Source organism: Homo sapiens, chromosome 2 (assembly GCF_000001405.40).
Source record: "Homo sapiens chromosome 2, GRCh38.p14 Primary Assembly".
Lineage (NCBI taxonomy): Eukaryota > Metazoa > Chordata > Mammalia > Primates > Hominidae > Homo > Homo sapiens.
In genome coordinates this window covers 143033020-143059137 of record NC_000002.12, presented here as the reverse complement: position 1 = coordinate 143059137, position 26118 = coordinate 143033020, and the positions used below count along the sequence as shown (strand labels likewise).

The window sequence follows — 26118 nt, the reverse complement described above, 5'->3', positions numbered from 1 at the left end:
CTATGTCCTGACTTTGATCCAACAACTTACTTTAACCCATAGAGAAAATGTCTCCCATAGACTGTGTATATTGCTGCAATGTCTCCATTCTTGACAAGCTTGCTGTTTTAACACAATAGAACGTGCAGAGAGCTGCATGAAGTGAAGCTCCCACATACTGGGAAAGAGAAAATTAAGACCTCTGTTTAGTAAATATTGGCATAAAAATGAAATTCTTTTCACCTAAAATAACATTGTGAGTATGTGAAATTGAAATTTCAACAGAGGCCAAGGAATCCAATGTTAGCTTGTTTGTCTTTCTTGAGAAATCATGCTTTAAAACATGTTTCTCATTTGATTTAGGATAAATAAGTCATTCTCAAGTTCAGTCCTAGGTGGGGCACTGGCAGAGGGTCTTTGAGGCACTTCTAAGGCAAAGAAGGTTGTAGTGTGATAATAAATAAGACATAGCCAGTGCATTTAGATGCTCTCAAATCTGAAGATTTTATAATTATCTTCAAACTGGATAATAGAGTAAAATTGAGTTTCTACATGTGGAAAACTGGTATCTATTAAAATTATGTTTTGTAAATTTCATGTATTTCTGAATTTTTCCAGTGGGCTTACAGTGAATCCGATTCAATTATAAAGAAGTTTCTATAACCTGCTGTTTTAAGGCAAAGGCCCCACTGTTAGACTCAAGGTAAATATGTACAGCAGATATTACTTGTCAGGACTACACACTACTCATTAATTATCTGCTCATGATGGGATGAATTAAGTGTTCAGCACAAGTGTAAGTACTGTATACACCAACAAAAACAGAAATATTAACTACATTATTGAGTGGCTTATGTTAAAGGAAGGAGGAAATACTTTGTCCACAAATACAATGCAGGATCCAATGTTTTCTTCGAAGCCTATTATAAGAAAATTACAGACAAAAGCTTTTAAAATATGGAGGCTGATATAGTTTGGCTTTGTGTCCCCATCCACATCTCATCTTGAATTGTAATCCCCATGTGTTAAGGGAGAGAACTGGTGGGAAGTGATTGGATGATGGGGGCAGTTTTCCCATGCTGTTCTCATGGTAATGAGTGAGTTCTCACGAGATAGCTGATGGTTTTATAAGAGGCTCTTCCCCCTTCACTCTTACCTTATTCTCTCTCCTGTCACCTTGTAAAGAAGATGCCTCCTTTGCCTTTTGCCATGATTCTAAGTTTCTTGAGGCCTCCCCAGCCATGTGGAACTGTGAATCAATTAAACCTCTTTTCTTTAAAAATTACCCAGTCTCAGGTAGTATCTTTATAGCAGTGTGAGAACAGAGTAATACAGTAAACTAGTACCAGGAGAATGGGGTACTGCTATAAATATACCTAAAAATGTGGAAGGGACTTTGAACTGGGTAACAGGCTGAGGTTGGAACAGTTTGGAGGGCTCAAAAGAAGATAGGAAGATGTGGGAAAGCTTGGAATTTCCTAGAGACTTGTTGAATGGTTTTGACCAATATGCTGATAGACAACGGACAATGAAGTCCAGGCTGAGGTGGTCTCAGATGAAGATGAGGAATTTCTTAGGAACTGAAGCAAAGGTCACTCTTGCTATACTTTAGCAAAGAGACTGGTGGCATTTTTTCTCTGCTCTAGAGATCTGTGGAACTTTTAACTTGAGAGAGATTATTTAGGGTATCTGGTGGAAGAAATTTCTAAGCAGCAAAACATTCAAGAGGTGGCAGGGTGTAAAAGTTTGGAAAATTTGCAGCCTGACCATGTGATAGAAAATAAAAATCCATTTTCTGGGGAGAAATTTAAGCTTGCTGCAGAAATTTGCATAAGTAACGAGGAGCCGAATGTTGATCACCAGGACCAAAGGGGAAAATGTCTCCAGGACATGTCAGAGACCTTCATGGCAGCCCCTCCCATCACATGCCCAGAGGCCTAGGAGGAAGAAATTATTTCCTGGGCTGGGCCTAGGCTCTGTGCAGCCTTGGGACTTGGTGCCCTGCATCCCAGCACGTGTGATTGAAAGGGGCCAAGGTACAGCTCAGACCATTGCTTCAGAAGGTACAAGCCCCAAGCCTTGGCAACTTCCACATGGTGTTAGGCCTGCGGGTGCACAGAGGTCAAGAATTGAGGTTTGGGAGCCTCCACCTACATTTCAAAGGATGTATGGAAATGCCTGGGTGTCCAGGCAGAAGTCTGCTACATGGACGAAGCCCTCATGGAGAACACCTGCTAGGGCAGTGCAAAGGCGAAATGTGGAGTTGGAGCCCCCACATGGAGTTCCCACTGGGGAACTGCCTAGTGGAGCTGTGAGAAGAGGACCACCATCTTCCAGACCCCAGAATGGGAGATCCACTGACAGCTTGTACCATGCACCTCGAATTGCTGCAGACTCGCAATGCCAGCCTGGGAAAGCAGCTGGGAGGGGAACTGTACACTGCAAAGCCACAGGGTTGGAGCTGCCCAATACTATGGGAGCCCCCCTCTGGCATCAGCTTGACCCAAATGTGAGACATGGAATCAAAGAAGATAATTTTGGAGCTCTAAGATTTAATGACTGCCCTGTTGAATTTCAAAATTGCATGGGGCCTCCGGCCCCTTTGTTTTGGCCAATTTCTCCCATTTAAAATGGGAGCACTTATCCAATGCCTGTACCCCCATTGTATCCTGGAAATAACTAACTTGGTTTTGATTTTACAGGCTCATAGGCAGAAGGATCTTGCCTTGTCTCAGATGACACTTTGGACTTGGACTTTTGAGTTCATGCTGGAACAAGTTAAGACTTTGGGGGACAGTTGCGAAGGCATGATTTTGAAAAGTGAAGACCAGAGATTTGGTCAGGTGTGGAATAATATGGTTTGTCTTTGTGTCCCCATTCAAATCTTATCTTGAATTATAATACCCACATGTCAAGGGAGAGGCCTAGTGGAAAGTGATTGGATCATGGAGATGATTTCCCCCATGCTGTTCTTGTGATAGTGAGTTCTCACAAGAGCTGAAGGTTTTGTAGGGTCTCTTCTCCCTTTACTTTTCCTTTCTTCTCTCTCCTGCCACCTTGTGAAGAAGGCGCCTGCTTCACCTTCTGCCATAATTGTAAGTTTCCTGAGGCCTCCCCAGCCATGCAGAACTGTGAGTCAATTAAATCTCTTTTGTTTATAAATTACCCAGTCTCAGGTATTTTTCATAGCAGTGTGAGAATGGACTAATACAAAGGCAGAAGGGATTGTTTCCAACATCAGAATATATGGTGAAAAATATTACATACAAGGTGTTATTGAAGTCATAAATTTTGAGGCAGGTGACATAAATTCTCACCGAAGTCATCACTGTTCATTGTTTTTATTAAATTTTCCAACATTAACAAAAATAGAGAGAATTCCACATATTATTCACCCAGTTTTCAAATTTATCAAGATTTTTTCATACTATTTTTTTCTTCTTCCCTCCTACCTCTCCTCTCCTCTCCTCCCTTTCCTTCCTTCCTTCCTTCCTTCCTTCCTTCCTTCCTTCCTTCCTTCCTTCCTGTGGTAAGATGACTAATGACCCTCAAAGATGTCCATGTCCTAATCCTTAGAGGTATGAATATTTTACATTATATGGCAAAGAGGAATTGTGATTGTAGATGGAATTAGGTCACTAATCAATTGACCTTAACATAGGGAGATAATCCTTGATTGTCCAGTTGGCCTCAATAGACTCAAAAAGGCTCTTAAAAGTGGAAGACAGAAGAAAAGGAATAGTTAGAGAAAGATGTAAGGATGAAAGAATAGGTAGAGAGATGAAACGTTGCTGTCTTTAAAGATGGACCTTAAGCCAAGGATTGTGGGAAGCCTCTAGAATCTAAAAAAAGTAAGAAAACAGAGTTCCCCCTGGAACCTCCAGAAAGAAACGTCACCCTGCCAAGGCCTTGCTTTTGATCTCATGAGACCCATGTTGAACTTCTAACCTATGGAACTGTAAGATAATAAATGTGGGTTATTTTCAGTCACTATGTTTTTTGGTCATTTGTTATAGCAGCCATAGAAGAATACTACACCTTTTTAGTTTGTCATCGTTCTTTTTTATAATTTTGCAGAGGAATTTTAAGGCAAATTCCAGATTTTGTATTATTTCACTCCTATGTACTTGGTATATATATATAGAAATATGAATAGCTTCTTACTCCCACAATACTATTATCACAGCTAACAAATTAGATAAAAATACATTTCTCATTCAAATTTCCTCAATTCTCACAACAATGTCTTTTTATAGTTGGTCTTTGAATGAAGATCCCAACCAAGTCCACACATTGCATTTGTTTATTATATCTCTTCAGTCTCATAATTCAGGGTAGTGCCTTCTCCCTACCTGCCTCCTATTGTATTCATGCCACTGACATGTTGAATAAATCCAATCAGCAGCTATGTTGCATGCCCTGTATTTGACTCTTTATGGTATCATTTAATTGCCCCTCTATTCTTCATACTTTTTATAAACTGGAAGGTAGCTTTAGGGCTATTTTGATTGGACTTGGTTTCTTATTTCCTGACTGTACTGCAGAGTGGTGCAGTCTACTTCATATTCATCACATTGAGCACATAATTACATGTTGTTCCATTTTTAGTGGTATCAGTATTGATCAATGAAGTTCATAACAACGTGATGCCTCCACTATATATTAATAGTTTTCACTAACTTTTCCTTTAATGTTTTATCTTTGCCTGAATCTGTTATCCTAAGTATTGAAAAATGATTATATTCGATTTTCTTCATCAAATATTATCTGTAATTTCCTATAAAGAATAATTTTCCAAAGTAGAGTATTTATAATATGCTCTATATTATATATGAGAAAAGAGAGAATTGTGAATTGCCTTTATAGCTCTATTATGTAAAAAAAGTAATAGAAAGATAAAGTGAAACTTGGGGAAATACTTATACATAGTAAGAGGGAATAAACTGAAGAATTGGAGATATTGTAGAATCTAAAATTTAAAAAGAAAATTTATAAAAATTAAATGAAAAATTTCAAAATACTGAAACAATGTATCCAATTGGTGGTTGTAAGGACATAGGGAAAAAACCAGTGTTATTTCTACTCTCTCACTCAAGAATCAACATAAAATGCTTTACCTCTGGTCACCAAAATGTGTATAGGGATTTCTCCTCACCAGCAAGCAATTCTGCATTGAACGCAAGCTAGGTATCCTCTAATTGAATTCAATTCTGACATGATATACCTGGAGATATCATTCAACCCCACAGGTTAAGGGCTCAGTTCCACAAGACTGCCCCCACAACCCCACTTCCAACGCTAATGGCAAGTCCCTGGCTTTTTACCTACTAGCTATAAATTAGTATATTAATCCGTTTTCCCACTGCTGATAAAGACATTCCCAAGATTGGGCAATTTACAAAAGAAAGAGGTTTAATGGACTCACAGTTCCACATGGCCAGGGAGGCCTCATAATCATGGCAGAGGTGAAAGGCACATCGCACATGATGGCAGACAAGAGAAGAACTTGGGCAGGGAAACTCCCCTTTATAAAACCATCAGATCTCATGAGACTTACTCACCATCATGAGAACAGCACAGAAAAGACCTGCCCTCATGATTCAATTACCTCCCACCGGGTACCTCTCCAAACACATAGAAATTCAAGATGAGATTTGACTGCGGACAAAGTCAAACCATATCATTCTGCCCCTGGCCCCTCTTAAATGTTCTCACATTTCAAAACCAATCATGTCTTCGCAACAGTCACCCAAAGTCTTAACTCATTTCAGCATTAACTCAAAAGTCCGCAGTCCAAAGTCTCATCAGAGACAAAGCTTAAAGATGGACCTTAAGCCAAGGATTGTGGGAAGCCTCTAGAATCCAGAAAAGGTAAGAAAACAGAGTTCTCCCTGGAGCCTCCAGAAAGAAACATCGCCCTTCCACCTATGGGCCTGTAAAATCAAAAGCAAGTTAGTTACTTCCTAGATACAATGGGGATACAGGCATTGGGTAAATACAGCCACTCCAAATGGGAGGCATTGGCCAAAACGAAGGGGCTACAGGCCCCATGAAAGTCTGAAATCCAGTGGGGCAGTCAAATCTTAAAGCTCCAAAATGATCTCCTTTGACTCCATGTCTCACATCCAGGTCACACTGATGCAAGAGGTGGTCTCCCACAGCCTTGAGCAGGTCCGCCCCTGTGGCTTTGCAGGGTATAGCCCCCTCCTGGCTGCTTTAACAGGCTGGAATTGTCTGCAGCTTTTCCAGGTGCGTGGTGGATTTACCATCCTGAGTTCTGGAGGACAGTGGCCCTCTTCTCAAAGCTCCACTAGGTGGTGCCTCAGTAGGGACTCTGTATGGGGGCTCCCACCATACTTTTCCCTTCTTCACTGCCCTAGCAGAGGTTCTCCATGAGGGCCTTGCCCCTGCAGCAAACTTCTGCCTGGGCATCCAGGCATTTCCATACATCCTCTGAAATCTTGGTGTAAGTTCCCAAACCTCAGTTCTTGACTTCTGTGAACCCAGGCTCAACACCATATGGAAGCTGCCAAGACTTGGGGCTTCCACCCTCTGAAGCCACAGCCCAAGCTGTACCTTGGCCCCTTTTAGTCATGGATGGAGCTGCTGGGACACAGGGCACCAAGTCCCTAGACTGCACACAGCAGAGGGACCCTGTGACCAGCCCACGAAGCCATTTTTCCTTCTAAAGCTCCTGGTCTGTGATGGGAGGGGCTGCCACAAAGGTCTCTGACATGCCCTGGAGACATTTTCCTCATTGTCTTAGTGATTAACATTCAGCTTCTTGTTACTTATGTAAATGTCTGCAGCCAGCTTAAATTTCTCCTCAGAAAATTGGTTTTCCTTTTCTACTGCATTGTCAGGCTGAAAATTTTCTGAACTTTTATGCTGTATTTCCCTTTTAAAACTGAATGCCTTTAATAGCAACCAAGTCACCTCTTGAATGCTTTGCTGCATAAAAATTTCTTCCTCCAGATACCCTAAATAATCTGTCTCAAGTTTAATGTCCCACAAATCTCTAGGGCAGGGGCAAAATGCCTCCAGTCTCTTTGCTTTATGTCTAAAACATAACAAGAGTCACCTTTGCTCCAGTTCCCAAGAAGTTCCTTATCTTTGTCTGAGACCACCTCAGCCTGGACTTCATTGTTCATATTATTATCAGCATTTTGGTTAAAGCCATTCAACAAGTCTCTAGGGAGTTCCAAATTTCCCACACTTTCCTGTCTTCTTATGAGCCCTCCAAACCATTCCAACCTCTGCCTGTTACCCAGTTTAAAGTTGCTTCCACATATTCGGGTACCTTTTCAGCAGTGCCCCTCTCTACTGGTGCCAACTTACTATATTAGTCAGTTTTCAGGCTGCTGATAAAGACATACCTGAGACTGGGCAATTTACAAAAGTAAGACCCAATTCCACATGGCGGGGGAGGCCTCACAATCAGGGCAGAAGTTGAAAGGCATGTCTCAAATGGCACAGACAGGACAAGAGCCTTTGCAGGGAAACTCCACATTATGAAACCAACAGATCTCATGAAACTTATTCATTATCATGAGAACATCATGGGAAAGTCCTGCCCCCATGATTCAATTACCTCTTACCAGGTCCTTCCCACAAAGATAAAACTACAAAATCAAACAAGTTAAATAAAACATCTTATTATCCCAGACAAAATTGAAAATACCACTATGAAATAAAAATATAATTTATATTTTTAAAATATGTATTTTCTTTTAACTAAAAAATCCTAGAAACATGATCAGCTCAATTAAAATGAGCACTCTTCCTGTTAAGATTCTGGTTTATAAAGAAGGTTTTTCTCTGAAAAGAACTGTATAGTCTTAGATAAATAAATAACAAGTTTGAAGTTGGAAATATGTAATATAAGCCTACCTGTTTTTATACTAAAGGCTATGAAGTTATCAAAAATAGATAGGGTCATGTCAAAAGGACTCAAGAACCATCTTAAACAATCAAAAGTTGAAAAACTAGAGAATTAGTCAAAACAATTACTGCAATAAACCAAAACCACATCAGATCTATTTACATCCACTACTTCACAATGACCTCCATTATTATTGTGTTATTTGAGACTAAATCTTGCTGAAATTAAAAATAAAATTATTAGTGGGAAGAGAACATAGAGCATATCATACACACAGTGCACATGCTAATGGCCCACAGAAGCATCACATCCATAATCTCAGTAACAAGGTACCCTAATACTTTGATTCCCAGGTTGTGCTTTATTGATGTGATATTTCCAGGCTGTTTGAAGGTTTCTTTCTTGAAGTGGTGCAAAAATCCATTTACTTAAAAAAATCAATGTTCTAACAACTTCAGTTTATGGAGAAAATACACTATATAATTTAAATGTGAACCCATATAGTTTTGAACTCAAGAATAAGTAGAAAGTTATTGAGCATAAAATAGCTGTAGAAAAGTTTATTTAATTTGAAATTAATTTACTGACTTCACACCCAGTCTTTCTTCAGTCTGTTTTTTAATAAGTTAAAGCAACATGAAATAAATATAATTAGTTTTAAAAAAACAGCCCTATATATTGTAATAGCCCCAGAAGATCACTATAAAAGAATTGACATTCATATAAATTTGCATGACTGGATGAAGAAAATGTGGTATATATACACCATGGAATACTACGTAGCCATAGTATTGAGGAATGAGATCATGTCCTTTGCAGGGACGTGGATGAAGCTGGAAGCTATCATCCTCAGCAAATTAACACAGGAACAGAAAACCAAACATCGCGTGTTCTCACTCATAAGTGGGAGGCGAGAATACATGGACACAGAGAGGGGAACAACACACACCAGGGCCTGCTGGGGGGTGGGAGGTGAGGGGAGGGAACTTAGAGGACGGGTCAATAGGTGCAGCAAACCACCATGGCACACGTATACCTATGTAACAAACCTGCAGGTTCTGCACATGTATCCTGGTTTTCTTTAGAAGAAATTTTTAAAAAATACAATTGCTTCAAATATTTATTATATTTATATTATTTAAATATATATTTAATTATCATGTTTACATAAAATAGATTTTACATAAAATAGATTTTATACTGTATTATATATTTCATATTTTATATGTTTTTATTTTATATAAATATATGTTTATATATTATATATATATTCAGGTAAATCCTACTTATGTGATTGGAAAAAAACCGAAAACAAGAATTTAAAGTGTTCTTCTCATTGATTCTCTGCAACTGACAGAAGCAAACATAAAAACTCTGGAAAATCAGACTTAACTCAGTTTTCAAAGAATTCAAAAGGTCAAGGTAAATGAGCAGTTCGAAGCTATCAATCACAAAACTACAAAGGAAACAAGGCATCATATGTGAACTCCAACAGAAACAACTGTACATTCATTATATATTAGATATGGACTATCAACTAGTTGTGATTAAGAATAAAGAAAATGCTGACTTAGATCAGGTTCCCGTGACACCGTGCTTGAGATTGGGATTTGGATGACTATGTTTTATTGAAGGAGTGCTCATCAGGGAAACCTGTAACAGAGGAAGTGAAGGGGATCACCAAAAGAGCTGGGCAAGGGATGGTCTCAGGAAACTTCTAGTCATGGTCTAATCCACAGAGAAGGGGTGGCTTCTGAAGCATAAACTGTAGTGTGAAGATTATCCTTCTCCTGACTGATACAAAGTGTAAGTTTTTCATATTTTCATTTTTTTTTCCAATCCTTTATAGTGTGTGGCCTGACCCCAAAGTTTGAGGAGGGAGGTAGCTAAAAGCGTTGGTGGCAGCCACCAGGCAAAACAGCTGATGCAGGGAAGCTCAATGGGGAACCAGAATGTCCACTACTAATGCCTAAAGCAGAAGCACATTCGAAAGATCACAAATGGAAGGAATTTTGAACAGAAATCTAATGAAACTTTTAGAAACTAAAATATATGTTTTAGAATTCTTAAGAATGCAGCCCAGAAATTCAAAGAAATAGAAAATATGAAGTTAAAGGCATAAAGGAGAGAGTGAAAAATTCTAACATATACCCTTTTATTTTAAAAAGGAAATAATAGAAAGAGGTAATAATTGAATAAATAAATAATACTTCTGAATTTTCTAGAAATTAAAAAATTAATCCTCAAATCTTGGATAGACAGCAAATAAAGAAATAGAATAAACACAATAATAACTGCCTAGACACATCATAATAAAAATGCGGATCATTAAAGACAAAGAGCCCTTAAGAGCAATGGTTGAACTAATTTACATTCCCACTAACAGTGTAAAAGCATTCTTATTTCTCCACAGCCTCACCAGCATCTATTGTTTCCTGACTTTTTAATGATTGCCATTCTGACTGGCATGAGATGGCATCTCATTGTGGTTCTGATTTGCATTTCTCTGATGATCTGAATGCTTAACAGCAGTAATGGAAGCCAAAATACTGTAACTTAATATTTTCTACTTCCTGAAAGAAAATTACTGTCGACATAGAATTCTATATGAAGTGAAACTATTTTTAAGTAATGAGAAAATGGTATCAATAAATGTTTTTTCCCAAAGACTAATACAATTTACCACTAAAAGTTTTTCATTAAAATGAATTGTAATAAATTATATATGTACTTCATCCATAAATAAAATTCTGAATTGTAGGGAGAAATAGCAAACATTAGTGAGAGAGAGAGAGACAGAGAGAGAGAGAGAGAAAGAGGAGGGAGGAAGCTAGACTAAAAATGCTATAATGAATAGCAATAGTGTATAAGTAAAGAGTTGGCTGTTTGATGTTAAAGCATTCTCATTTCTTCAACTAGTCAGAAGGAGAGTTATAAAAAATGGCTAATTCTAAACTTCATTATATTTGCATGTTAAAATAGCCAGAGTAATTGCTAAAATAACAAAGAATAAGTGTATAATTTCCACACAAATAGAAAGAAAAAACGGACTCAATACACCTCCACACACACATCCCTAAATCCAAAAGAAGAAAAACAGAGGAAAATAAATAAAAATCAAAAAGAAAATGAGGGGCTGGGTTTGGTGGCTCACACGTAATCCCAGCATTTTGGAAGGTCAAAGTGGGCGGATCACCTGAAGTCAGGAGTTTGATACCAGCCTAGCCAACATGGTGAAATCCTGTCTCTATGAAAAATACAAAAATTAGCTGGGCATAGTGGCCCATGCCTGTAATCCCAGCTACTTGGGAGGCTGAGGCATGAAAATTGCTTGAACCCGCAGTGAGCTGAGATCGTGCCACTATACTCCAGCCTGGGTGACAGAGAGAGACTGCCTCAAAAAAAAAAAAAAAAAAAAAAAAAAGAGGTCCAGGAGTGGCAGCTTATGCCTGTAATGGGAGGCTGAGGAGGGAGGACTGCTTGAGGCCAGGAGTTTGAGATTAGCCTGGGCAACATAGCAAGACTCTGAATCTACAAAAAAAATTATTTTTAAAAATTAGCTTGGCATCGTGGCATGTGCCTGTAGTCCCAGCTGCTTGGGAAACGGGGGACAGAGGATCACTCAAGTGTTTGAGTTGGAGGTTGCAGTGAGCTATGATCATGTGCCACTGCACTCCGCCTGGGCAACAGAGTGACACCCTGTGAGAAAGAAAGAAAGAAAGAAAGAGAGAAAGAGAAAGAGAGAGAAAGAAAGAGAACAAGGAAAGAAGGAAGGAAGGAAGGGAGAAAAATGTGCTCATTTGCATAAAATTTCCCATATTAAAAATAGATACCAATTGAATTCATGTATATACAGTATCAATTATCAGTTAAATGTTAAATTTTATAAAAGATAACACATGGGGCTGGTGCAATGCCTCATGCGTATAATCCGAATATGGGAAGCTGAGGCAGGAAGATTGCTTGGGGCCAGGAGTTTGAGACCAGCCTGGGAAATGTAGCAAAACACTGTTTCTACAACTTTTTTTAACTTAACACTTAAAAATGAGCCAGGCATTGTGGCACATGCCTGTAGTCCTAGCTACTCCACAGGCTGACGTGGGAGGATCACTTGAGCCCAGGAGGTTGAGACTGCAGTGAGCTATAATCACATCAGTACACTCCAGCCTGGGTGACAGAGGGAGACCCTGTCTTTTAAAACAACAACAAAAAAGATAATGTGGAATGACAATAAAATTAGAAGTACTTAGGAATTTGTCAAACTATAAATGTGCGTTTCCATAATAGAGAAAATAAAAAATTTTGAGAAGCATTAAAGAAATCATAAATAAATGAAAATAAATGCCATGGTCTTGGGTAGGAAGGCTCACTATTGAGTCAATTCTTCCAAAACTGATCTAAAATTTAATTGCAGTTCAATTGAAATCCCAACAGGGGTTTTATGGAACACAATAGATTTATTCTAAATTTATTTAGATGTATTCAAAAATATAAAAAAAGTAGGGGGCCCAGGATAACCAGGACAATTCAGGGCAATCTTAATAAAAAGAAGCTGAGAGATTTAATCTAGCAGATGCCAGGCCCTGCTATGTTGTAGTAATTAAGGAAGTGAAGTATTGATGAAAAAACAAGCAAATTAGCCAGTGTGAAAGTACAGATAGCCCAGAAAGACATCCATATATATATTGCTTTCATATATCTACATATCTATATTTATATAGATATATAGAAACCTGGCTTATGAAATAGAAGGAATTATTAATAATATAAATTATCTATATGGGAAAAAATGAAATAGAATCACCACCTCACATCATTTACAAAATTACTTGTAACATAGGAGAACTTAAAGATGGTTTATGACTCTTCCCTAAAACAAATGTAAAATTTGTAATACAATACTGAGCAGCAGTGAAAATGAATGGAAAGCTACATGCCACAAATGGATGAATCTAAAAATATGTGCAAAAGCAGAATATATACAGTATAATTGCATTGATACAATATTCATGCACAACCAAAATTAGCTAATAGATTTTTATGGGTACATACATGGGTGTAAAACTTAAAGAAAGTAAGGGAATGAAGAAAACAAAATATAATTCGATGGTTATCTGTGGATTTGGGGAGGGAGCAGAATGTGAGCTGGAAAGAGAATTTTTAATGCTATTTTTTAACCTAGGTGTTGAGTACATGGTGCTGATTATGTTTTCCATGATATGTTTATATACTTTGATATAATTTTAATGTGATTAGCATGAAATATTTTAGAACATTTATAAACTTATGAGCACCTTCCAATATTTCCCCTCACTCAAACATCTAATTAATACCCTTCAGAAATTATGATTTGTCATTATAGATTTACTTCTCTGCTTACAAGTTCAACATATGTTTCTCCTACTAAGCTGCTTGTTCCATGAGAACTGAAAACACATATGTTTTGTTTACCACTATGAAGTTGAAAAACAATTCCTGGTCAGGCATGGTGGTGTGTGACTAAAGTCTCAGCTACTCAGGAGGTTAAGGTAGGAGGATCATTTGAGCCCAGGAGTTTGAGACCTGCCTGAGTTACATAGAGAGACATCATCTTCCATCTTTAAAATAAAAGCATTCCTATATACCAACATATGTATATAGGACAAACAGAGAACCAAATCATGAGTGAACTCCCATTCACAATTGCTGCAAAGAGAATAAAATACCTAGGAATACAACTTACAAGGGATGTGAAGGACTACTTCAATGAGAACTACAAACCACTGCTCAAGGATACCAGAGAGGACACAAACAAATGGAAAAACATTCCATGCTCATAGATAGGAAGAATCAATATCCTGAAAATGGCCATATTGCTGAGAGTAATTTATAGATTCAATGCTATTTCCATCAAGCTACCATTGTCTTTCTTCACAGAATTAGAAAAAACTACTTTAAATTTCATATGGAACCAAAAAAGAACCTGTATTGCCAAGACAATCCTAAGCAAAAAGAACAAAGCTGGAGGCATCACACTACCTGACTTCAAACTATACTACAAGGCTATAGTAAACAAAACAGCATGGTACTGAACAAAAACAGACATATAGACCAATGGAACAAAACAGAGGCCTCAGAAATAACACCACACATTTACAACCATCTGATCTTTGATAAACCTGACAAAAACAAGCAATGGGGAAAAGATTCCCTATTTAATAAATAGTGTTGGGAAAACTGGCTAGCCATATGCAGAAAACTGAAACTGGACCCCTTTCTTATATCTTATACAAAAATTAACTCAAGATAGATTAAAGACTTAACTGCAAGACCTAAAGCCAAAAAAAAAACCCTAGAAGAATATCTAGGCAATACCATTCAGGACATAGGCATGGGCAAAGAATTTAAGACTAAAACACCAAAAGCAATTGCAACAAAAGCCAAAACTGACAAATGGAACCTGATTAAACTAAAGAGCTTCTACACAGCAAAAGAAACTATCATCAGAGTGATCGGGCAACCTACAGAACGGGAGAAAATTTTTGCAATCTATCCATCTGACAAAGGGAAAATATCCAGAATCTACAAGGGACTTAAATAAATTTACAAGAAAAACACAACCCCATCAAAAAGTGGGTGAAGGATACGAACAGACACTTCTCAAAAGAAGACATTTATGCGGCCAACAAATATATGAAAAAAAACTCATCATCACTGGTCATTAGAGAAATGCAAATCAAAACCACAATGAAATACCATCTCACGCCAGTTAGAATGCTAATCATTAAAAAGTCAAGAAACAACAGATGCTGAGAGGATGTGGAGAAATAGGAATGCTTTTACACTGTTGGTGGGAGTATAAATTAGTTCAACCATTGTGGAAGACAGTGTGGCAATTCCTCGAGGATCTAGAACCAGAAATACCATTTAACCCAGCAATCCCATTACTGGGTATACCCTAAGGATTATAAATCATTCTACTATAAAGACACATGCACACATATGTTCATTGCAGCACTATTCACAATAGCGAAGACTTGGAACCAACTCAAATGGCCATCAATGATAGACTGGATAAAGAAAATGTGGCACATATATACCATGGAATACTATGCAGCCATAAAAAAGAATGAGTTCATGTCCTTTGCAGGGACATGGATGAAGCTGGAAACCATCATTCTCAGCAAACTAACAGAGGAACAGAAAATCAAACACTGCATGTTCTTACCCATAAGTGAGAGTTGAACAATGAGAACATATGAACACAGGGAGGGGAACATCACACACCAGGTCCTTTTGGGTAGTTGGGGATAAGAGGAGGGTGAGCATTAGGAGAAATACCTGATGTAGATGACGGGTTGATGGGTGCAGCAATCCACCACGGCACATGTATACCTATGTAACAAACCTGCATGTTCTGCACGTGTATCCAAGAACTTAAAGTATAAATATATATATATTTATACTTTATATATATTATACTTTATATATATTTATATAAATATATTAAAATATAAATATATAAATATATAAATATAAATATATATAAAGTATATATATTTATATATATTTTTATATATGTATATGAATCCACTTATGCATGAGTTTTAAGGTTTTGAGAACTCTTCCATCTATGAGGATTAGTTACAGTAGGAAGATTTGCTAAAGCAGTATGTAGCCACTCAATTAAGGGAGATAACATGAGTAATGTAGCACAATACATGGTACATGGTAAGTACATGATAAATATCAGTAGTTACTGGTATTGGTAGGTGTTGATGTTGGAGTTCCACATATTATTGTTTACGTCTACCATCCGAAGTGTTTATCTAAGTTTGTTTATTTCATTCAAACTTGTTTAATTGGAGGCAATAATTATGTCACTCTTTTTGTTGACTATGTATACAAATCTACACTATTTTGTCAACTTATAAATAATGATTGTGGCATCAACAATTGAAAACTAGGTAAGTCCAACAGGGCTAAGTGTAACTTTAGGTTTTTCACAGTGGGTAAGAAAGGTCCATAGATTTGAGATAAAGATGTCAAGAGATGGAGCACATATTTCTTATATCTCTAATCCCCAAAAAGATCTTGGGGTTATTTATTTACTATGGAAACATAGTAATATAATATCTAAGCTCTTATATTAGGGGAAGTTCTCATTTAAAAAGTAAGAGATTATGATAACATTAAAGAAAGAAACATTCTTAAAAAGTGTGAATTAGGGCCCATGAGTGGGTAAGGAAATCAATATAATGAGTTTCCAACATTTCTTATGAGATAAAATAGAATAGTACCTATTAGAGCACAGGCAAATAATTGTAAAAACTTTTATTTTTGCTATTTAGACTATTTTATCAAATAGAAGATGGTAACTGTTTATTTGAGATGCATGCTAATTTCATAGATGGTAACGAGAAAGATGGCCAATGGTGACTGTAAGAAACTATTGATCGAAAATTGAAAGATGGGTCCTCTTTCAAAGATGTTAAAATATGATAAAATATCTTAGAATCAATAATATTTCTCATATATTCACATAAATACTGGTTTCTGATATTACAGATCAGCAGGAGCAATGTGGATTGTACCCAAAAAAATTTGAAAGCCACTATCATATATATATGATATATATATATATATATACACACACACACACACACATATATATATATATATATATATATATATATATATATATATATATATATCAGACTACAATGCTTCAAAGAAACTCCTTGGTAAATTGAAGCTAAAGTAATATTTCTAAATTTGACACAATAATTGCACATACATTATGAAGTTGTCAGTTAAATCAGAAATTAAACCAACATAAAACATTTCAATGACCATGAAATGTGACAGCTTATAGAGACTGTATAGATAATACTTGAACCAACACAGTTTTGGTCCCCCAAACACAAAGCACCTAGGCAGCCCTGTGGACTCCTTAGTGCCACAGACTCTGAAAAATTATATCAGATTTTCTGTAAGGTATATTATTTATTGTTAGTTACATGTGGTCAATGGTGACATACTTTCAATAATTAAAAATCGAATAATACTGAAATAACCACAGCAGCTTTCAGTATAATTTGCTTAAGTTGTTCTAGAAAACACTGCTAATTTTTTGTTTCTGCAGAGTCAAGTATAGAAGTGAGCAGATTGGTAAATTTATAAACATCATGGAAAGAATTATAGAGAGGAACTGGAGCCACTCGAATGCCATTTGGATTCCGCTTGTCACACTGTGGGGAAAAAATAAAGCCACAATAATGTTAGCATTATTCACACGTTGAAAATCTACATTCCAGATAAACTTATGTAAAGCACTTTCATAATGATTTCCCTAAAAATTAATATATATGCAAAATTTTTTTACTTTAAAACATGGTGTTTTTCTGTTTTATGAAACTTTTCTCTTGATAATAATTTAAGAAATAAGAATGGATTGGTGCATAAATAGCCAAGATAGATTCCTGAAATCTATTCAGCAACTATCTTCCTTAAGCATTTAATAGACCATAAATACATTTTGTTTTTTTTTTCCCGTGGGGACCCCATGGAAGGACTGGAATTCTTGGGTGAATTTAAGTGAATGAAAACCTCATTAGGGTCTGGAGAGTTTTAGTAAATTATCCTTGAACTTAATTCTCTAATCTTTGATCTCACAAATAAGAAGTGGGCTACATTGTAGGTCCTGAAGTAGCACCAGATAATTTGACATGCCTAGAGATCACTATGGTTAACTTTAGAAAACACCTGCTATAGGCTAGACAATATAGTATATAGTTTATGTGTGCTGTCCCATTTCAATCCAATCACAACTCTTGGAGGTAATTTATTTTATACCCCAAATACGGATGAAAATTTCAAGCCAATAGATCCTAATGAACTTTCCAAAGAGGACAGAGTTTGACGACAGCAGAGTTTGATTTAGAAACTTGAATTTCTGACTTGTGTCTCCAGCATCTGGGAGTAACCTCTCCTACAGGTAAACATGAGCCAAGCAATGCCTTAATTACATAATCATTGGAAGTAGATACATTATCTTTTTTCCCTGAAATTACTCAGTTCACATTTATTAGTTCTCTTCAAGAGACCAAGAAGGTCATATAGGCTGAAGGGTTAAAAAAAAATTATTCCTTGCAATGTTACCACTCCTGAGAAGTGTATATATATCTTTTTTGACAGAAGTGACAAGGTTGAAAATAACTTAATTTGATCAAGCGACTAAATAAGACTTTCTTTTTTAACCCTTCAATAAATTGGTATGATCTTTAATTCCATTCATCCAATAAATGAATTGTAGTACAGACTAGAGAAAACAATGTCCTGACTGAGTATGATGAAATAATAACTTTTTTCTGCCCAAACTGTTATGAAAAGAATGAGTAAGTTACAAAAAACTATTCCTATAAGCCAAGTTTGTGGTATCTTCTCTTTTATCAGAAACGACAGATCTCTATGCCTTTCAGTTAGCACAGTGCTGAGGGCTTAGTTGGCACTTAATTTATCCTTAATTGACTGACTGATGTGAAATAACATGCAACAATGAATAAACCAAAGAGTCCAAATTTTATCCCTAACATGCGGCCCATAGACAAAATCTGGTAGCAAAGCAAGACATACTTACAACCACTCCTCTTTTTTCTAGTTCTTGGAAAACATCTTTGTTTGGAACAGAAAATGTTATTGTTAGCTGGCACCCCCGCTCCTCTACATGAGACGGAGTAATTATGTTCACAACTGGTTTCTTGGTTGCTGCTTTATCTTTGCCATAGTTATGCTTGATCAGGTATTCCAGATAGCCAGTTAGCAAAACAGATTTTTTCCGCAATGCCTTCATTGTCGCTTGCTTAAAGATCTGTGGAATGAGAAACAATCAGATTAAAGTGTCTTATTGATTTACAAAGAAGCAAAAATTAAGAGTAAATCATGCATAAAAAGGAAATGCCCATATTTGATCTTTCCAATAAATATCTCCCTTTACATAATCTTTTTGTGTAAAATCATGCCCTCCTTTAAATGCTTTGCTATTAAATACTGAAGGTAAAATTTCCATGACAGAAAAATTGTACAAATGTCACTTAAATAAAACTTGCAAAGGAAGAAAATGTAAGTTAATATCATGTACCTGTGGCAGGCCAGGTTTCACTAATGCAGGCCTCCATCACAACTGTTTCAGTACTGACCGAGTGGTTACATTAAATATTAAAAACTAAAAAAGTCAGTGCCCTTATACAAAGGCTGGGATGAACAAAAGCCTATCAAGAGTTTTGCCTAGGCTTTCCCTGGGCCTTAAAGCATGACAGAATAATGAAGGAATTCTTAACAGGACCCATTCAGGATTAAACAAGTTTTACTGTGGTTGTGAAGAAACTCTCCAGGCCTCTACAAACAAGTTTATTGAAGGTCTAAAGGAACTCCTCAAACTTCAGTGATTTAGCAGAAGACAAGATAAGGGTAATCACTCCAGCACCTGGACCCATTTAGATTAAGTAAATTTACTGAGGCTCCAGAGGAAGGTCTTCAGGACTCAGACCTTAGTTGTAGATTAAAAGAAGTTAATCACTTATGTCTTCAGATGAATGCACACTTACACCTGTAAAACTTTGTAATTTTGAGTTGGTCTGGTGATAATTTCCAGGCCTTCTCCCTGTAACCAGTTACAGAAATAAAAACTCTCTTCCTCCCCTGTTCATCTGCATCTTGTTATTGGGCCATGAGAAATAGCAGCCCAACCCTCAATTTGGTCCGGGAACATACCTTCAAAATTATTTTAAATTAAGTTAGTATAATCAAGTAAAACATACCTTAATAAATGGATTTAAATATCATACAATGTAAGCTTTTCCCCAAAACCACTTTTTGAAATCATAATCAAGAAGACTTTTCCAACTTTGATGTAAAGTTTGTTTATCCTCAAAAAAGTGCAATATGATCTAAACATGTGCAAATGTGTAAAGCAGTGTTACTGGTGATATTTATAACTGCTTTACTGACTCCCAAATCTCTTCCAGTTTAACAATAAGAAAACAAGCAGTTAAATAATAATGCTAAGTTTCCTCAGAGAGGAAAGCAAATAATATTAGATAATGCATTTATTTTTACTGAAGCATTTGGGCTTGGTTTCTCTCATTTCCCCCCTTCTAAACTCTAGCACTGGTGTGAAAATACTGCCATTTGTGGGCTGAGATGTCTTATATTAAGATGAGTGACAAGGGCACACAATAACTGGTGTTGGAATATTAGGGGTCAGAACAGATGTGCTTTTCTGGCTTATCTCTTAAGGTCAAGTAGAGTGTAAAAATATATCCTATGTATAAGAACTAAATGAACTGCAAACAGAGCGTGATGCACTGGCCTGCCACTTAATGTTCCTTTTCTGTGTCATGAGCAAAGATATCAAGAGCAAAGATAGGGTCATTTGGTGATATTGAGACTTTATCAAGTCTATGAAAACAGTTATTCCTGTATGTACACGTGGCATGTGTAGGCAGGCACTCTAATAAAACTCAAACCATTCAGCCATAGATTTCCTGGAACTATACTGTATAGAGGCTATGGATTGGCTGAAGGAGAGGCTGGGAACTGTACTGAAGGTAAATGATATCTAAGCAAGAGAGGAAAAACAGGACAGAATGGTGCCTGTCTCTCTCTTCAACCACAACTCCCAGACAATGTCTGAAGTCTACAGAGACAGCTCAAGTAGAGGCTGATATCTTGGCTTCATAAGCTCCCGAGAGAGATCTGCAGTACAAATAATAGTGCTCCAAGATTCAGATGACCCAGGTTACACAGAACTTGGTAGGAGGCATCTCCTTCATTTTCTTGGGCAAAGCAAATGTAGGTAGACTTGGCATAATGAAGACTCAAGGGAACACTGCCAAGTTTTGGGTCAAGGGACAAGAATCAAAATTCTCCCAGAGGAGCAGGGACAGGCAAGGCACGGGCCACAGCTGGTTTGGCTGTGAAGTTTGGAATAAAAAGACTATGTGAGGAATCTTTCCAAGATTCTCTCTGGAGCTTAATAATATTCTAAGAAATTCTAAATAATAAATAATTCTAGGAAATTTTGTGGTTATGCTATGGGTGCCCTAATATGTACATGGGGGCAATCGATATGTGAAGTATCACATTTAATGATAGTTCATTTGTGTGCATAGGTTAGTAAAACTTGGAGGAATATTACTTGCATTTAGTTTTTAAAGGGGCGTAGGGAATGTTGCTCTTGAAGCTTTCTCTTGATAACTAGAAACCAATTTTTTTGGTATGACAAATAGCTTCCATCTTAATATACTGTGGAATGTTAACACTCTTTAAATCATAAAATAACTTTTAAATATAAAACTTACTTTCTCCATTACAACCACAATAAGGGCAACTGCATTCTGAGGCACTTTTAAATTCATCTCACAGAGGGTAAAAGTCTATTCTGAGCTTCACATAAAAATATTGAGAGAGAATAATAGGGAAGTAACATAAATATTCTATTTTCTTTTTTGCTTCTCATAAATGTTATGCTTTCAATATTGAGAAAATAATTTTTTTAAATTAGAAAAAATGAAAACTGTGGTTTGAAAAATATTCAGCTTAGAAGATAATACTTTGCAGAGTTTCAACTACTTGTATTTTTTTTCTTACTGACAAAATGAACACAAAGCTTGAAAAGCTAGATAAGTTTAAACAGGAAAAATAAGTTTGGTGTGATGTTTTCAATTGTCATATTTTTCTCTTAAATTCTTAAAACTGTCTCTCTAGGAAATTTGAAAGGAAACGTATAGTACATTTCTTTGTTGAGTCTTCTGACTCGCCATGTATTTTAATTGAATGCTCTAACTTTGTATTTTGAAGCCATTTATTTCATTATGAATTCAGAATACTGAAAGGGACTAAATATTGTCTACCTATCGCTACACATAAATATGAACCCTCAAAATATAATATACGTATTGTTTAAATTTAAGTATTTTGGAAAGTGAGGAGACTTCCAAAATAATCTTGTCCAAACATCTTACTTTAAAAAATAAGGCAAATACATCCAAAGGGAGTTGTTGCTTGTGTAAGGTCACACTTCGTGTCCATTGAGGGAGAGAGTACTTGCCACCAGGTTCCTGGCCTCAGGCTTCATCCCTTGATCCACAATATTTTAAGAACTATTGTATAAATGATTCAGATAAAAAAATATAAACAAAAGGACAGTTTGAAACTGATTACAATGTGCTATTTTTTATATCAATCAACCATATACACATGTATTTATTAAAAAAAGCCATATTAATATCTTTTTAAAAAGTCATTGCATTAAAAATCTAAGGTCTTATTTATATGTGATTGATTCTTAAGTATAGAATCTCTCCTCCAGTTCGTATTTGACTGTGTTGAATATTTCTTAAAAGTAGAGACAACAAAGAGGCAGTTTGATTCATGCATTTACTTCTTTCGTTTATTGAAACTTCAACCACCTATCTCCTAAAATGGAATAAACTGGTTTAAAAAGATAAGGTGGCTGAGTGCAGTGGTTCACGTCTGTCATCCCAACTGCTTAGGAGTATAAAAAGTAAAGTAGAGGTTCCTCTTCAAAGACTTTCCTTCCCGTCTAATTAGGAATAAATAGTAACTTCTCTTAGAAGCAAAATTTATTCAAAGACCTGTGCTAACATTCTTAAATATCTGCTAGCTGTAATAAATAAATCAATATACTTTATGTTTTTAGCTCCCACAATTTAGCCTAAATATTTGCCCTGGCATGCTTATACTGGTCCAAGCAGCATTAGGTCACAGCCTGTTCCTCTTCCTTATTTAAAAGTGTTTTTACCTTTCTTAGCATTCCACAAGTTACTTCCTCCTTCCTTTGTTACCCTCTACCTTTACGTCTTTTAAAAAGTTCTAAGTTACTAGCCAATCGGGACAAATACAGAATGGGAGGTCCCATTCCAGCCATTGGAACTGGACACAGCAGTAGGGTGGACACGTCAGGTTATAAATGACCCTGTCTCCTTTGTTCGGTGTACTCTCATGGCAAAACTGCTGGCGAGTGTATCCTCTCTGCAGGAAGTAAAAATGGCCTTACTAAATAAATTAAATTTGCGTTCAAGTGCTATTTCTTTATAGCACTGAAAAACAAACATTTCAAACAGGAGACTGAGGCAGGAGAATCGCTTGAGGCCAGGAGTTCCAGATTAACGTGGACAACATAGCCAGACCTCATCTCTAAAAAAATTTAAAAATAAGCTGAGCACAGTGGCATGCCCTGTAGTCTTAGCTACTCAGGAGGACCACTTGCAGCCAGTAGTTCAAGATCAGCCTGGGCAACATGGCAAAATCCTGTCTCTATAAAAAAATACAAAAATTAGTCGGGCATGGTGGTGCACTCTTGTAGTCCCAGCTGCTGTGGAGGCTGAGGTGGGAAGATCAACTGAGTCCAGGAGGCAGAGGTTGCAGTGAGCTGAGATCCCATCACTGCACTCTAGGAGTGACAGAAGGGGACCCTGTCTCAAAAATAAAGAAATAAAATAAATAAATAATAATAATCAGCCAAGTGTGGTGGTGCAGTCCTGCAGTCCCAGTTACCTGGAAGGTGGGGGCAGGAGGATCACTTGAACCCCAGGAGTTTGAGGCCATGCTAAGCCATGATCGTACTATTGCATTCCAGTCTGAACAACAGAGCAAGACCTCATCTCTAAATATAAATAAATAAAACTTAAAGGAAGGTAAGTATTAATAGAAGCATAGTTAATTCACTGATGTTTACTCACATGAGAAACCCATAAATGTCTAGAAAATAAGACATTTTAACAGAGAAAGGGAAGCAATTCAATGCATTAGTTTGTAATTCAAAAATTTTGCAATTTACAGTAGGAAAGAATTTTGAAAAAACACTTTTACCAACATAAGGCTTGATTAACTAAAGATAATTTTGGTTAGAACATAGTCTCAGCAGTGAAATGAGCAGAAAGAGGCTCAAGGGAAATATGTAAGTGATTAGAAGATCCAGAGAAATGCATATCATTCTTCTTGTGGCTTTTAGGGTTTTAAGTTTAGATATTGACTGGGTAACATAGTAAGACTTTATCTGTACAAAAAACTACAAAAATTAGCCTGGTGTAGCGGTGCACACCTGTAGTCCCAGCTACTCAGGAGGCTGAGGTTTAAGTTTAGATATTAAAAAGAAAAAATAAATCAGTTCTCAGATTATAACTGAAAATAAAAACTTTGTCTAGGTGACTCTAATACAGTGTGGTAGGAAAACAGTGGCTGGAAGAATAGGAATGTGCTTCCTTTCCCACAAGAGAAGGGTGAATACTACTAGAAAAGCCAGTCCACTGCAGAAAGTATGCCAAAGTGAAGGCGTCTAAAAGGAAATTTCCAGGTACGTCTGAGAAGTTATTTGCAAAGATATGGGCACCAGAGGAAATTACTTTAGGTACAAGCTCTTCCTAAGGTATGTCCTGGTGCTTCTGATATTGTCACACATCTCGCTGATACAAACTTGCAAGGAATGCAGAAACTTTATTTTGTTTTAAAATGTTTAAACAAAATATTTATCTGAATGGATACTATAAAAACAACTCAAATATCATTATCTGATTTACTAAGCAGATTTTTACTCAAAAAACTGTCAAAAATATATATCACTGGCTGAAAAATCTCGTTACTGTGTCTATTTTCCAAGTTAAAGAAAAATTCTGCCATGAAGTGAAAACAACACAAGCTCCATCTAGTGGTTAAACTGAGTAGGTGCGCTTTAAATTGAGACAGAATGAAATGAGGTGATGATCACTATCCAGTGGTGAAATTTAATAAAAACAGAGGAACTTGATGCTGCCATCCAGTGGCCAGAATGAGAAACTGCTGTAAGTGTTCACAGAATTATGCAATTTTAGATTAGAAGGAATTTTGAATCTTCATCCTGTCACTCATTTGATGCTGAAATCCTCTATAAGTTTTTGCCAAAATATCATAAACTACATGATTTTAGAAGGAGACATGAAAAAATTTCAAATCCTTGTTTGAATAGTTCTATGTAAAACTTCTATTAGAAATATATATGCACATTTACTTAAAATATATTTTACTTAAATATAGGTATACAAAATATACAATTACTTTATATATTTACATTATTTATGTAAATATTTATACATTTACATTATATATGAATTTTATACTATATAACCTATATATTTTTACTTGGCCACATTTAGTCTAACACTAAATAATAGTATCTAAGGAATCACAATTTCATTTTCTTGTTATGTATATTTATCATTTCAGGGTGAGACTAAATTTACCTAAATAAAAATATAAATTAATTTAAAGGAAAATATTGAGTCAGTGATAGTGGAGACTATAAATGGACATAATGGCATAGAAGTCCCAATTTAAAAAAATCATAAAACCACCCTACCTTATGAGACAACCTTATTTAATCTTTGGTTTACTCTGATTATTCTTTTTTCCTTCAAGTAAGTCTTTCCTAGCTTTGTCACATGGTACTTGGTCAGTTCATTCACCTACAATGAACTAGAAAAAGTACAGTCCCTAGTAATCACATCAGGCACACAATATTTTCTCAATAAATTTATGTTGAATGAGCGAATTTATGAAGAACTAAATATTGCATGCTTATTTGGTATAAAGAGAGGCCAAGAGAAGGTTAAATAACTTATTCATGTTTAAACAGATTCTAAGTGGAGTAAAAAACGTATCTCCCCAAAAGAGTTCCATTTAATATTTACTATGTGCCAACAATGTGCCAAGCATTGTGCTGGGGGCTGGTGACATGAATGAAGGGAGACCCTCACCACATCATCACTGTCCTAAAGGGGAATGCTGCCTTCTGTCCCTTGTTCATGCACAGTGCACATGTATCATCTTGCTGTGTAGCAGAGAAAGTACTATGAATTGTCACAAACAGATCAAGAAAAAACGCAAAGATGTGGGAAGGTTGAAACACACATCACTTACCTCTAAACTAGCATGCAAGGAACAGACCAACAAAATGGGAGGATTTGAAATTCGGAATCCACAGACCCCAGGGATTAACTGCAGTTCTGAGAAATTAATATCATGTCATTATCATAGAAGGTAACTTTAAAAGTGTCCATAAAGATACTAGAGTACTGGAGAGTAAAAGAGCAAGACTTAAACTTTTCTTCCTAAGTAGGATTTCTGAGATATTTAAGATAAGCTCCATGGAACTAAAATATCGACGTTATTTCCCGTTTACCAGCAGTTCCCACCTCCCTTGTCCCCAACTTCTTAGCAGA

General features: G+C 36.4%; 1 protein-coding gene across 3 annotated transcripts in view; it reads right to left on the bottom strand.

The window, feature by feature from the left end:
* Nucleotides 3305-26118, bottom strand: part of KYNU (kynureninase) — a 178170-nt gene continuing 155356 nt past the window's right edge. For 2 of the 3 annotated variants that reach the window (NM_001199241.2, NM_003937.3), the window contains 3 exons: nt 25817-25902; nt 18480-18710; nt 3305-17091 (listed from right to left, as the gene is read on the bottom strand). In NM_001199241.2, coding sequence (NP_001186170.1) covers nt 16966-17091; nt 18480-18710; nt 25817-25902 — 443 coding nt within the window. In that variant the 3' untranslated portion in view covers nt 3305-16965. Of the gene's footprint in view, nt 17092-18479; nt 18711-21872; nt 22003-25816; nt 25903-26118 lie in introns of those variants that run through there. The other variant, XM_047446250.1, reaches the window with a different exon arrangement.